At 35.1% G+C, this 14,413-nt stretch overlaps 1 protein-coding gene and 1 long non-coding RNA gene across 5 annotated transcripts in view; one reads left to right on the plus strand and one right to left on the minus strand.

Annotated features, from left to right (window-relative positions):
- SNHG31 (small nucleolar RNA host gene 31) overlaps window positions 1–4,759 on the plus strand; it is a 153,377-nt gene extending 148,618 nt beyond the window's left edge. The window contains exon 4 of the long non-coding RNA NR_110292.1: window positions 2,964–4,759. This is a non-coding gene — a long non-coding RNA (small nucleolar RNA host gene 31). The remainder of the gene's footprint in view (window positions 1–2,963) is intronic.
- ABCA12 (ATP binding cassette subfamily A member 12) overlaps window positions 1–14,413 on the minus strand; it is a 207,085-nt gene that overhangs the window by 27,305 nt on the left and 165,367 nt on the right. For all 4 annotated transcript variants that reach the window (NR_103740.2, NM_173076.3, XM_011510951.3 and 1 more), the window contains 4 exons: window positions 11,427–11,554; window positions 9,874–9,961; window positions 8,002–8,107; window positions 178–232 (listed from right to left, as the gene is read on the minus strand). Coding sequence is in view for 3 of the 4 variants with exons in the window: in NM_173076.3 (NP_775099.2) it covers window positions 178–232; window positions 8,002–8,107; window positions 9,874–9,961; window positions 11,427–11,554 (377 nt within the window). In the remaining variant the exon portion in view is untranslated. The remainder of the gene's footprint in view (window positions 1–177; window positions 233–8,001; window positions 8,108–9,873; window positions 9,962–11,426; window positions 11,555–14,413) is intronic.

Here is a 14,413-nt window from a genome sequence, read left to right on the forward strand (position 1 = left end):
TGGCAAGCCCACTCTACACCCTTGCAGAAACTTCCTTTGATCCCAGTCAGTGACATATTACCAGCCCTTCTAGATTGACATTCATTCAGATACAACTGTGATTTCCAATTACAGCACTTTATACAAAGGCTCAGCTATGTCAAGGAGAAAGTAGTCATGCTAGAGATATCTGCTTACGTGGCTTGTTCTTGGTCTTGCACTCCTGGATAAGGATGGCTATACATGATGATGCCTTAAAGACGAAACAGTTCTTCTATTAGTAGGTATTCAGTTAATCAGAAATACCAATTTTTAGATGAATAATATTCAACACTTTCCTCCTTATATTATTATCTAAACAATTTTATTTGGGGGACCTTTTTTTTTTAAAGGAAAATTATTTTTCCCCTAATCCCATTAATGCCATACAATTGGTGGCACTCACATAAAAAGAAGTTTTTCACATTGTGTTTAGAACCTTTGGGAAGGGAGCAAGAATTTGTATTTCTTATATTGCATTTCTCTCTAGTGTGTTATATTTAAATAAGTATGTTCCATTTTTTTCCTTCTATCTGGTCATATATATGTTTGTATTTCAACAGCACTTCAGACATGTATTACATTTAAATAAGCAATTCAAAGCAGGACCAATTATTTATATGAGGATCCCTTAAAGAGCAGACAGTTACTTCCCCCATCCCTCTTTAGTGCTGTCTGTGTTGGGGAAATAGTGTAGCCTGAGTGGACTCCTCCTTCCCCTTTATTGCTTCTAAGATGCTTATTTTTCTAGAGCTCTACCAGAGTAGGGCTTGGGAACTTCAGCCATACCCGAGGCCTTTTCATTGAGACATAAATATCCAAGAGGATTCAGAGATATTAGCTGGCTTCAGAAAAGTGGTCACTTAATTCCAATACAGTCCCAAATTGCTGGGATCTCCCAGTGTTGTTTATACTTGAGTAAAAAACAAGGCTCTTTTCTTCCCTTCCTTAGGGGACCTTGGTTAGCCAAAGTCAAGAATGAGCTGTCAACAGTTTCCCAAAGGAAAACAATGTGAGGGTAAAGTGTGTACTGTCTGAGCGACTGTGGAAAAGAGTGGTAGGGGATGCCACTGAAGAAAGCTCCTAAATACTTGTTCCTATAGTGTCATAAACTAAGTGAGAGCTTTCTCACTTAACTGTTCATATAGTATTTGTTCATTGTACTAGGATGTTAAGGCCCTTGCACAGCACTGAATATTATAGATGATTCTAAAGGCAGATTTTCTCAAGTTACATTTGTAATTTTCATTAAGTAGAATGTAACATCCTTTGAATTTGAGTTCTGTAACTCTTGTATATTAAAGAAAAAATATATGGTTAAAGCAAGAAACTAACAACAACAAAAACCAAGTTGATTTATAATGTTAATCACATCATTGGAGGGATATACTTTTCTTATCTTTTGTATAAATTAAGGGGCCCTTTTTAACTGAGATTCAGTTTTCCTGGGGGCTCTACTTAAACCCTAATGGTAAATTATTATATAGGTAAGGGAGAACTTTTCTTTTATTTCTGCTTTGTATTTCAGAATCAAGAAATACTCTATTTCACCAGAGGAATCCTTGCAAATACATTTTACTCCACTATGCAAAATCCTGTGGAACCAGTTTTTTATACATATTTTTAGCTGAAAGATCAAGGAAATGTGTCACAGTTGGGGACCTGTATCATAATTATCTCTGTAGGTTCTACAGCATCCAGCATGATGTCCAAAGTAGCGAGATTGGTCAGTAAATGCTTTTAAATGAACTCAAATCTTAAAATTTCAATTAATATTTTTCTTACATATAATGTATATTAAAAATAAGACATCTTCTGATGTCTCTACAGTTATAAACCTTAATTTAGATGCTTCCCATGGACCACTGCTTCTAATGCAACAAAGTAAGAATAAACACTGGAGTGGAAGGGACAATGTGTTAGTATTCTTGAAAAAGAGCCTAGTTGTATAACATTTGTTAAGGAAAACAAGCAAACCTGTATTTTTTGAGAAGAAAGAACAGAATTTTCATGTTATATTAACCACTAGAGGGAACCACATGAATAGAATAGATATTGACATTGCAAAGGAAAGCTAATTAAAAGATTTTTATTAGCATGTTAGAATTCAAAGAAAATCAATTTTATAGTTAAAGTAAAAACCCAATTCATGCAAAATCTAACAAAGATGCCTTCAAACAACTAGTGTGTTAGAGGGAGGCAGTGGGAGAATAATTGGGTTGATTTTTAAAACCAGTAACATTATTACAATGGTAGATCTCATATATGCATTAAGAAACAATAAAAGTAAGTTAGGGTGATGTAGCACTTCTTCTTTGAAAGAGATCGAGTTCCTTCCAGAGAGAGTGGAAACTTACCACTTCCGTAAGTCTATTTAAGAAAAATTATTAGAGGCTAGAAGACATACTATTACTAATTTCTATATAACTCAAGCTACATCTTAAATTAGTTTTAATTAAAATAAACTTCAGTTTAGGGTCAAAATAAACTTTTATGTTTTAGAATTCTTAATTCTTTATGCTCTGTAACTTAAAATGTAATGTTAGGAGCTACAACAAGCCTGCTGGAGTCTAGAGTGACTCAGATTGCCTTAGTCTAAATAAAGAGCACTAATTACAAAGGAAGCCAGAATACAGGTTTTAAAAAGCTGACCCTTCAAAAGCAGCATTGGTCTCTTGTTCTCTTTATCTTTGCTACATTTTCCCCTAGTTATTTCTATAGTTCTTATACTTTCATTATCTGTCTCAACAATAAATGTCTTTTGCTCTGAGTAAAACACCCTACTGAAAGTACAGCATCCAGTAGTATTTCACACCGGTTACACTAGACCCAATTCACTTTAGTCATCATTTAATTTAATTTACCACTTTTTACTTTGTTCTTTATTGATGCTCTAGATCTAATGACTATCAATCTTGTATTTTCTTCTTGGTTTCTCCTGATAGGAAAATGCCAAAGCAATTGGGGAAAAAAATACTGTTTTCTCTGAAATGAAGACTCCTCAAGATCCTGTTGCTGGAATGAGTATTGGACTCTTCGGTCTACTTCTACAGTCACCAGTACATCTGGCATACACTATGATGCCCAACAGTAGGAAGATGAAAGAAATGTAGATGTTGGCATTTCTAAAAGAGATGTTGTATCTTTTTTCCTACTTAATAGACTATTAGGCTATAAATCTCAATCTTGGCCAGCAAATGTGTTTGCCAGCTTTTCTTTATTCTTTTTAATTTTTTTGAGGATCAGCATGGAAAAACAATTTGCGCAAGGCTCAAGAAGATGAGATGGTCTTATAAACAGTAATTGAAATATGTATATTTTTTAAAAGTCTGTTTCAAATTTCAAACCTTATTTTAAAAACTATGTGAAAGCCTCTTGTGAAACTCAACTGAAGTAGGCATGGCTGAGTCCAGAGGAGCAGTGTGGAGGATTAGAAAAATAAACAGGCAGGAGTCAGACAGTCCTGGATTCAAATCCCACTTCTAGGCCTTAGAGAAATAATATAATAGTAGGGGATAATAATATTCACCCTGAAGAGTGCTGTAGGGATCATCAATATTTCATATAAAGCATGTCATATGGGCAGTGCTCAATGAATGGCAATGCTTTTGCCCAGGTATAGAACTTCTTAGTATAAAAGTTTTGTCTTTCAGAAAATTAACAAAGATATTCAGGACCGGAATTCAGCTCTGGATCAAGTAGACCTGATAGATATCTACAGAACTTTCTATCCCAAAACAACAGAATGTACATTTTTCTCATTGCCACATGTCACTTACTCTAAAATCGATCACATAATCGGAAGTAAAACACTCCTCAGTAAATGCAAAAGAACTGAAATCATAACAAACAGTCTCTCAGACCACAGTGCAATTAAATTAGAATTCAAGATTAGGAAATTCAGTCAAAACCACACAACTACATGGAAATTGAACAACCTTTTCCAGAATGACTCTTGGGTAAATAATGAAATTAAGGCAGAAATCAAGAAGTTCTTTGAAACTAATGAGAAAAAGAGAGAATGTACCAGAATCTCTGGGACGCAGCTAAAGTAGTGTTAAGAGGGAAATTTATAGCACTAAATGCCCACATCAAACAGCTGGACAGAGCTCAAGTTGATAACCTAACATCTTAACTAAAAGAACTTAGAGAACCAAGAGCAAATAAACCCCAAAGCTAGCAGAAGATAAGAAATAACCAAGATCAGAGCTGAACTGAAGGAGATAGAGACACAAAAAATCCTTAAAAAAATCAACGAATCCAGGAGCTGTTTTTTGAAAAAATTAATAAAATAGACAACTAGCTAGACTAACAAATAAGAAAAGAGAGAAGAGTCAAATAAACACAATGAAAAATGATAAGGGGGATAGTACCGCTGACCCCATAGAAATACAAACAACCATCAGAGAATACTATGAACACCTCTATGCAAATAAACTAGAAAATGTAGAAAAAATGGATAAATTTCTGGACACATATACCCTCCCAAGACTGAGCCAGGAAGAAATTGAATCCCTGAATAGACCAATAACAAGTTCTGAAATTGAGGCAGTAATAAAAAACTTACCAACCAAAAAGAGCCCAGGACCAGATGGATTCACAGCTGAATTCTACCAGAGTATAAAGAAGAGCTGGTACAATGTCTGCTAAAATTATTCCAAATAATTGAAAAGGAGAGACTCCTCCCTAACTAATTCTATGAGGCCAGCATCATCTGATACCAAAACCTGGCAGAGATACCAAAAAAAAAAAAAAAAAAAAAAAAGAGGCTGTGGATGATGGCTCATGCCTGTAATCCCAGCACTTTGGGAGCCCAAGGCGGGTGGATCACCTGAAGTCAGGAGTTCAAGACCAGCCTGCCCGGTAGAGACATGGTGAAACCCTGTCTCTACTAAAAATACAAAAAATTAGCCAGGCATGTGGCAGGCACCTGTAATCCCACCTACTTGGGAGGCTGGGGCAGGAGAATTGCTTGAACCCGGGAGGCAGAGGTTGTGGTGAGCTGAGATCGTGCCACTGCACTCCAGCCTGGGTGACTGACAGAGTGAGACTCTGCCTCAAAAAAAAAAAAAAAAAAAAAACTTCAGGCCAATATCCTTGATGAACATCGATGCAAAAATTCTCAATAAAACACTGGCAAACTCCAGTTTGCACATCAAAAAGCTTATCTGCCACAAGTTGGCTTTCATCCCTAGGATGCAAGGTTGGTTCAACATACACAAATCAATAAATGTGATTTATCACATAAACAGAACTAAAGACAAAAACTGCAAGATTATCTCCATAGACGCGGATAAGGCATTTGATAAAATTCAGCATCCCTTTTGTTAAAAACTCAAACTAGGTATTGAAGGAACATACCTCAAAATAGTAAGAGATGTATATGGCAAACCCACAGCCAATATCATACTGAATGGGCAAAAGCTGGAAGCATTCCCCCTGAAAACTGGCACAAGACAAGGATATGCTCTCTCACCACTCCTATTCAACATAGTATTGGAAGTTTTCGCCAGAGCAATCAGGCAAGGTAAAGAAATAAAGGTATTCAAATAGGAAGAGAGAAAGTCAAATTATCTTTGTTTGCAGTTGACATGATCCTATATCTAGAAAACCCCATTGTCCAGCCCAAAAGCTTCTTAAGCTAGGATAAGCAGCTTCAGCAAAATCTCAGGAGACAAAATCATTGTGCAAAAATTGCTAGCATTCCTATACACCAACAGCAGGCAAGCAGAGAGCCAAATCATGAATGAACTCTCATTCACAATTGCTACAAAAAGAATAAAATACCCAGGAATACAGCTAACAAAGGAAGTGAAGGACCTCTTCAAGAGAACAACAAACCACTGCTCAAAGCAATCAGAGAGAACACAAACAAATGGAAAAACATTCCATGCTCATGGATAAGAAGAATCAATATCGCGAAAATGGCCATACTGCCCAAAGTAATTTACAGATTCAATGCTATTCCCATTAAACTACCATTGACATTCTTCACAGAATTAGAAAAAAATTTTAAAATTCATACAGAACCAAAAAAAGAGATGGAATAGCTAAGACAATCCTAAGTAAAAAGAACAAAGCTGGAAGCATCACATTATCCAACTTCAAACTATACTACAAGGCTATAGTAATCAAAAAAGCATGGTACTGGTACAAGAACAGACACATAGACCAATGGAACAGAATGGAGAACTCAGAAATAAGACCACATACCTACGACCATCTGATCTCTGACAAACCTGACAAAAACAAACAATGGGGAAAAAGATTCCCTATTTAATAAATGATGCTGGGAGAACCGGCTAGCCATATGCAGAAAATTGAAACTGGACCCCTTTCTTACACCATATTCAAAAATTAACTCGAGATGGATTAAAGCCTTAAATGTAAAACCCAAAACTATAAAAACCCTAGAAGAAAATCTAGGCAATACCATTCGGGACATAGGCACGGGCAAAAATTTCATGATGAAAATGCCAAAAACAAAGCAATTGCAACAAAAGCAAAAATTGACAAATGGGATCTAATTAAACTAAAGAGCTTCTGCATAGAGAAGGAAACTTTCATCAGAGTGAACAGACAACCTACAGAATGGGAGAAAAATTTTGCCATCTGTCTCTCTGACAAAGGTCTAATATCCAGAGTCTTTAAAGAACTTAAATTTACTGGGGCGAGGGGGGAAGAAAACATTAAAAAGTGGGCAAAGGGCATGAACAGACACTTCTAAAAAGAAGACATACATGCAGCCAATAAACACATGAAAAAAAGCTCAACATCACTCATCATTAGAGAAATACAAATCAAAACCACAATGAGATACCATCTCAAAATAGTCAGAATGGCTATTAGTAAAAAGTCAAAAAGCAATAGATGCTGGCGAGGTTGCAGAGAAAAAGGAGCACTTTTACACTGTTTGTTAGTAAGAATGTAAATTAGTTCAACCATTGTGGAAGACAGTGTGGTGATTCCTCAAAGATCTACAGGCAGAAATACCATTTCACCCAGCAGTCTTATTACTACATATATACCCAAAGGAATATAAATAATTTTGTTATAAAGATACATGCACATGTATGTTCACTGCAGTACTATTCACAATAGCAAAGATATGGAATCAACCTAAATGTCCATCAATGACAGACTGGATAAATAAAATGTGGTACACATACACCATGGAATACTATGCAGCCATAAAAAGGAACGAGATCATGTCCTTTGCAGGGAGATGGATGGAGCTGGAAGCCATTATCCTCAGCAAACTAATGTAGGAACAGAAAACCAAATACTGCACGTTCTCACTTATAAGTGGGAGCTGAATGGTGAGAATACATGGACACATGGTGGGGAACAACACACACTGGGGCCTGTCAGAGCGCAGAGGATGGAAGGAGGGAGAGCATCCGGAAGAATAGCTAATGGATGCTGGGCTTAATACCTAGGTGATGCGTTGATATGTGCAGCAAACCACCATGGCACATGTTTACCTATGTAACAAACCTGCACATCTGGCACATGTACCCCTGAACTTAAAATAAAAGTTGAAGAAAAATAATAATGAAATAAAAAAGTAACCACTAACATATGTCAAAAAAGAAAGAAAAGTTTTGTCATCATATTTAGATTTGTGAACAGTATTTGTAAACATTAATTGTTTTTAAAAATTGTTTAGCCTATAGACAAGCACGTCGTTTAAAAATATTTTTCTATAAGCTATAACTGCTTGGTTGACAGCAGACATGCACGTGACGTCAGCATTATTATCCTGATTTGATAGATGAGAAAACTAAATTGACCTGAAGTTAAGAGGATTATCCAGAATGTTGCATCTGGCGATAGTTACTACTTCTAAACTCCTTTTAAAGACCTGTGATTTAGATACCATAAAATACCTGCCACCTGTGAAGAAACAGGATATAAAGTGCATTTTTATACAAAGAGTAACAGAAGTTGCAATACAGGACACTTTTGTGTTAGTAACTTTACCATGTCGGGCAGCATCGTATTTTGACATGTTAACTCGCAGAAGGAAATTATTCAGGCTGTTGAGGTAAGCTGGAAGGGAGTGATAGCCTTCTGGATCATACCATACCTATTAAATTCCAAAAGAAGGCAAGATCAATATTGCATTCAAATAAATTAGGCTGTCTTAACATCTGACAGCTATCTTATTTATATTTAAAATAAGAGCATCAATTTTCCAATAATTTATTTTATCTTGGAAGATTATGCACTGTTCTCTAGAGTACTGACCATAGGCCTATAAATTTCCAATTTAGAAACAGGCAGAAATTGGGAAGAGAGTTGTTCTGTGGATAGCACTAAATTATTAGTTATTCAGGATCTCTTCTAGGCAAAGCTTGAAATAAACTGGAGAAATCATTATCTACATCCCTGTGGCAGATCCATGGGATTCTGAGACTAGAACTAAGGTATCCTGGCTGCCAATAATGGTAATAAAAACTAATGGAATAGACCAAGCTGGAGAAATAAATAAAATACATATACACGCATGGTGTCCTTAGCACAAGATTGAAAGCCTTGACATTCCTCCACTAATTTTTGATTCCTAATTATAACCTACCAAATGGGGCGCGATTTTACCTTCTATGTCATAAACAGAGAGATTTAATATACTGGTGAACCTCAATTCAAGAAACCCAATTACTAATTCAAAATAGCAAAGTTGATTTTGAGAGAAATGATTTTATATTAGAAATTCACATGTTTGTGCAAGAATATTTACTGTGTGTGTGGAGAGAGAGAAGAGAGGAAGAAAGAAAAGGAAAGCACTGAAATCCCCAGCACCACTAATTACTTTCTATATGATTTACTGTAAAAATCAGCTAAAATAGACTCAGGAATATTTATCACACAGGGATGCTGTGAGCAGAAAATTAGGTAGTTTGTGTAAAAGATGATACTCGTGGTTGGCACATAATCATCATGAAATGGACATTAGTTCCCCCACTTTCCCAAAGACTGTGTATGTCTCTTACTACCAGATGAGAAATATGTGTAGACAATTTTAAATCCCTATGACTACCATTGATCACATACGTAAGAATATGCATCTGATCCCGTGACTCTACCTCATTTTAGGTATAATCTAAAAGGAAAAATAAGTGAGCAGAATTATTTATCTCCATTAAATTTGGTTAAAGTTTCCAGGTTCTTTAAGAAGCAAGGCTAAACATATACATTTTCATTTCTAAATAGTTTTGACGTATACACAAGAAAAGTGCAGGTAATAAAGTATAGTGTTACCAAAAAAATTCTGAAGGAAGTACATCCCTTAAACTATACACGGGTTGAGAAATAAGAATTGCCAGCCTCCAGAATGCCTTTTCCCTGACCCTCTGTGTCCTTCCAAATCACAATACCCTCCCTTTCCCCTAAACAAACGGTTGAGTTTTGCCTATAAACTCTCAAAGTTTACAGTAAATGTAATCATAGTCAATGTATTCCTTTTTGTCTTTTCTTTCCTTATTAATAATGTTTGGGAGATTTAACTTGCTTGTTACATGGAGCTGAGTTCTTTCATTTCCATTGCTGAAAGTTTTATTGAATGAATATGAAACAGTTTATTTCTATATTCTGCATGTGGGCATTTTGGGTTGCGTTTTTGGCTATTATGAGAAATGCTACTATGTATACACATTTGTACGTGTGTCCTGATGCTAATGTGTACATGCTTCCCTAGGGTACATACACAGAATTGGAACCACTGTGCCCTGGGTTATGCACAATGCCAAATCGATTGTACCCATATTTTGTTTTCACTTCATGAAAATGATTAAACATATCAATTTCACCTTCTCATTTGTATAACATTCCAGAAAAAAGATCAAAATTTACCTTGGCAAGTGTTCTATTGGCAGGGACTCCTGTTATATCAAAACGAAGGTCTTTTGTCAAAGGCAGCCCAAAACTCCAACCTCCATATCTACAGAGAGTAATAAAAATATATCTTTGGTTTAGTGGAGAAAATCTTCTTAAATAGATCTAAAATACTTAACGAGGAGCTCAACTTTTTGTTTCTGTTAGGAACACATTTACAGTATAAAATGAATACTTCCTGACAAATATTTTACATTTCTATCAATTCTTTTTATCATATTTCAGTCTCAAGTGTACATTATAACTAGAGGCAATAAGTCCTAAACAATTGCATATGTTTAGTAGTCATCCTGAAAATGAGTGGCATATAATGTAATCAATTTCTCCAACTTAACTGACCCATCTACCATCTCAAATATCTTAATATTTTAGTACTCAAATATTCCTTTTAGGTAATTAATATGGAAGTGATATAATATCAGTTCATATCTTTTTTCAAATGGCTCAATTTCTTCTATATAACAAATTTTCCCCTATATTGTCCCCAGACATTATACATTTTTTCTCCCTGAATATTTGAGGGCAAGTTGGGTCTTGTCAATTCATGTCAACTGCTTGTCAATTCATGGTATAAAAACGAAAAGTTGATTTTTAAAATCCAAGTAGTAATTTTAAGAATAGGTTAATTTAACTGCCTACCAAATTAAGGACAGACTAAATAAATAATGGTGCAGTCACACTAGAATAATCTTGTGACTGTCATCCTAAATGTAGTGCTATAGAGCTATATATTTTTGACATGCAAATAACATCATAGTATGTAATTCACTTTTTTCAAAGGCAGATTTTAAGACAGTTGGTTTATAATAAAACCCATTTTGTTAAAAATATTTACATGTATATCTGTGACAAACTTCTGGAAGGATATACACCAAAATATCAATAGTGCTTATATCTGTGTGGAGAAATAATATTCTTTTTCTTCTTTTTGCTTATCTGTAGTTTCTAATTATTTTTTACAATGAATATTAATCATGGATATATATTGAGAAACAAAGGAGGGAAGAGATGGAGGAAAGAAGAAAATGGCAGCAATTGAAGGTCTACCAACTTTGTGTCCATGACAAATGCTTGGGTGGCTTAAGTACAAGCACATTTCCTTGCTACACATGAACAACACATTTTGTCCATATGCAGATATCACACTCTTAAGTTTTGAGATATTCATATTGGAACTGAGGCCAATTGTCATCAAAAGTCATGCCTTAAACCTCTCCAAGTTGGTATAAGTCAGTCAATAAATTCCCTTTGGCTTCAAGGAAAAAAAAAATATGTACAAATTTAACAGTACATTTTTGAGGCCTAATATAACCATTGGTTTTCCATTTGCTCAAATAAATCTTAATTTAGAGTCATTATTTACATTTCAATATATAAGGCTGTTTAAATAAAACTGAGAATTTAACCATGTAAAATGTAAACAATAGAAATTTGTATCTATTGTCTCTTTAGAAGGCAGCTACCATTAAAATTAGCAAGCAATTAAATATGTTATAAACAGATTATTTTACCTTTTTTGGACAAACTCATTTGCAGTTGATATAAGATAATTTTCCACTCGTTGCCCAGTGAGGTTATAAATTACCTGGGATGAGTAAGTTCTTCTGTGCGGTGGGGAATAGTTAAATTTAGGACATTCCTGGAAAATAAAGTTAAAAATGAATTTTTTTCTGGCCAATGCTGTGCAAGTTAAATAGACAATGTCAAGGAGCTTCAGTCTCATGATTTGTCTATTACTGCAACTGGTAGAGTGTGATAAGACTGTCCTTTGACTCTAAAGAGCTTTGAAAAAGAAGTCATCTCACCTACACCAAGAAATTAGAACAAATAGTTATTATTCATGTAGAGCAAATCCCTATGTTTAGGACTCACTTAAAGGCCTGGAAGAACACAAGTTAACAAATGTGTGATATTTCCTTCACTGTGCTGAGGCTTAATATGTTTGGACAATAATGTTAAACATTAAGATGATAAAATTTCCTCAATAATTCTCAAGGAAGGAAAAAAATATTTGCCACAAATTGAAAATATAACACTTTTCAAGGATTGATAGCAGTGGATGAAAAGTTTATGATACATTAGTTTTAGTATGCAACCTAAGACTCAGCTTAGTTATATGTATATTAGTTAATATTATATATGTATATATGTGTGTATATATATTAGTTTGATATACATAAACTTTTAGTTTGGGATTATTTTAGATTTACAGAAAAGTCACAAAGCTAGTGGAGAGTTCCTGTGTACCCTGGTCACTTTCCCTTGTGGGTACTTATATTACCAAGTATATTTGTTTAGAGCTTAGTTTAACCATTTATATTTATGCCTGTAACTTTCTTTGCTTCCTGACAACTTAATTTTCAGTGTAGCTTCTCATGCTTCATTGCAATGAAGTTTAGTATGGGAAAAGTCTAGCACGTTTTTATAGTGCCACCTGTCTATCTCAAGAACATAAAGTTCCAGCTTGCTCTAAAGAAAATCGGTGCTGGATTTTATCTTATATCAAGTTATATCAACATGAAGATCACATTCCAGAGTGACACTGCTTTCACAAATAATTAAAAGAGAATACTCTTATGTATTCGTGTAATTTTTAAATTATACTATACATAGAGAAATGCACATGTATTATCTGTACTGCCTGATGAATTTTGACAAACTGACACACCTGTGTAACCAGTCACCAACAACCAAGACAAGATACAGAACAGGACCCATACCTCAGAAGCCCCCTCATCACACTCCCTTCAAATTACTATCACTCCCAAAGTAACAGACACAGCGTAGTTTTGCCTATTTTTATATTTTATATTAATGGAATAGTATAAATGTGTTTTCTTGTGTCTGGTTCTTTTCACTCATTATTATGATTATGAGAATCTTCCATATGTTATGTATGGTGGTCGATCAATCATTCTCATTTTGTTTATATACTACTGTGGAAATATATTGTATTTGACATTACCTATTCTGTTAGTGAGCATTATTCACATTTCTGATGGGTATATAGTAAGAGTGGAATTGCAGGTCCCACAGATATGCAAATTTTTACCATTGGGATATATTGCCAAGTAGTTTTAAAAACTGTTTGCACAAAATTAAATTCCCAGAGCAGAATATGAGAGTTCTGGTTGCTGCATATTTTTGTTAACACTTAGAATTTTTCCTCTTCTTCATTTTAGCCATTCTGGTGAGTGTGGAGTGGTATTGCTTTGTGCCTTAAATTTGTATGTCCCTGATGACTACCTTTTTATATATTTATTGGCCATTTGGATATGCTCTTTGTACAGTGTCTCATGTTTGTTGCTAATTTTTCTGCTGTGTTATTTATCTTTTTCTCATTGATTTGCAGTTCTTTATACACACGTTTATTCTGGATATGAGTCCTTTGTTGTATATTGTGAATATCATTCTCTACTCTGTGGATTTCCTTTTTACTCTCTTCATCTTTTGATGTATATACAGTATAATTTTTTTTCTCTCTCAAAAAACTTAGTACTTTATCCATATTGTATGTCTGGTATACAGAGCATCAATTATGCAAAGTGACCTCATTGTTATTAAATAGTTGGAAATAGATTTAGGGATGTTAATTAAATGACAAAATTGGTTGGAAAAAATTGAAGATCTACTGGATTTTTAATTTATTTTAATTTATTTATTTTGAGACAGGGTCTCTCTCTGTCACCCAGGCTGGAGTGCTATGGTGCAATCACAGCACTGCAGCCTTGACCCCGTGGGCTCAAGCCATCGTCCCACTTCAGCCCCACCAAGTAGCTGGGACTACACGTGCACACCACTACACCCAGCTAATTTTTAAATTTTTTGTAGAGATGAGGTCTCACTGTGTTGCCCAAGCTGGTCTCGAACTCCTGGGCTCAAGCAATCCTCCCACCTCCCAAAGTACTGGGATTACAGGCATGAGCCACTGCACCTGGCCTAGATTTTTCAGATTAATAAAAACTATACCAATGTCAATTTTAAATATTAAGTTAGGTAACTTTTCCTGTGAACTAAAGAAATACATAAAGAACTTCTGAAGTTAGCTAAATTAGATAAAGGATTTTAAAACTTTTAATACTGGGTTAAGACTAATTTTTTTTTCCACCCAGGCTGGAGTGCAGTGGTACAGCCTTGAACTCCCAAGGCTCAAGCTATCCTCTCACCTCAGCCTCCTGAGTAGCTGGGACCACAGACGCGTGTCACCATGCCCAGCAAATTTTATTTTACTTTTTATATTTTTGGTAGAGATGGGGTTTCACCATGTTGCCAAGGCTGGTCTTGAACTCCTGAGCTCAAGCAATCCACCAGCCTCAGCCTCCCAATGTGCTGGGATTACAGGCTTGAGCCATCACACCTGGCCAAGACTAATTTTTAAATATGCAGGGATTCCAAAAGATTCTTTTTGGGTCCCAACTCTTATTGTTAGTATCTATTTTGCATGAGAACACCAAAATGGGTTGCATTCACTGAAGATATTTTCATTATAAACTATTAT

Source organism: Homo sapiens, chromosome 2 (assembly GCF_000001405.40).
Source record: "Homo sapiens chromosome 2, GRCh38.p14 Primary Assembly".
NCBI classification, from domain to species: Eukaryota; Metazoa; Chordata; class Mammalia; order Primates; family Hominidae; genus Homo; species Homo sapiens.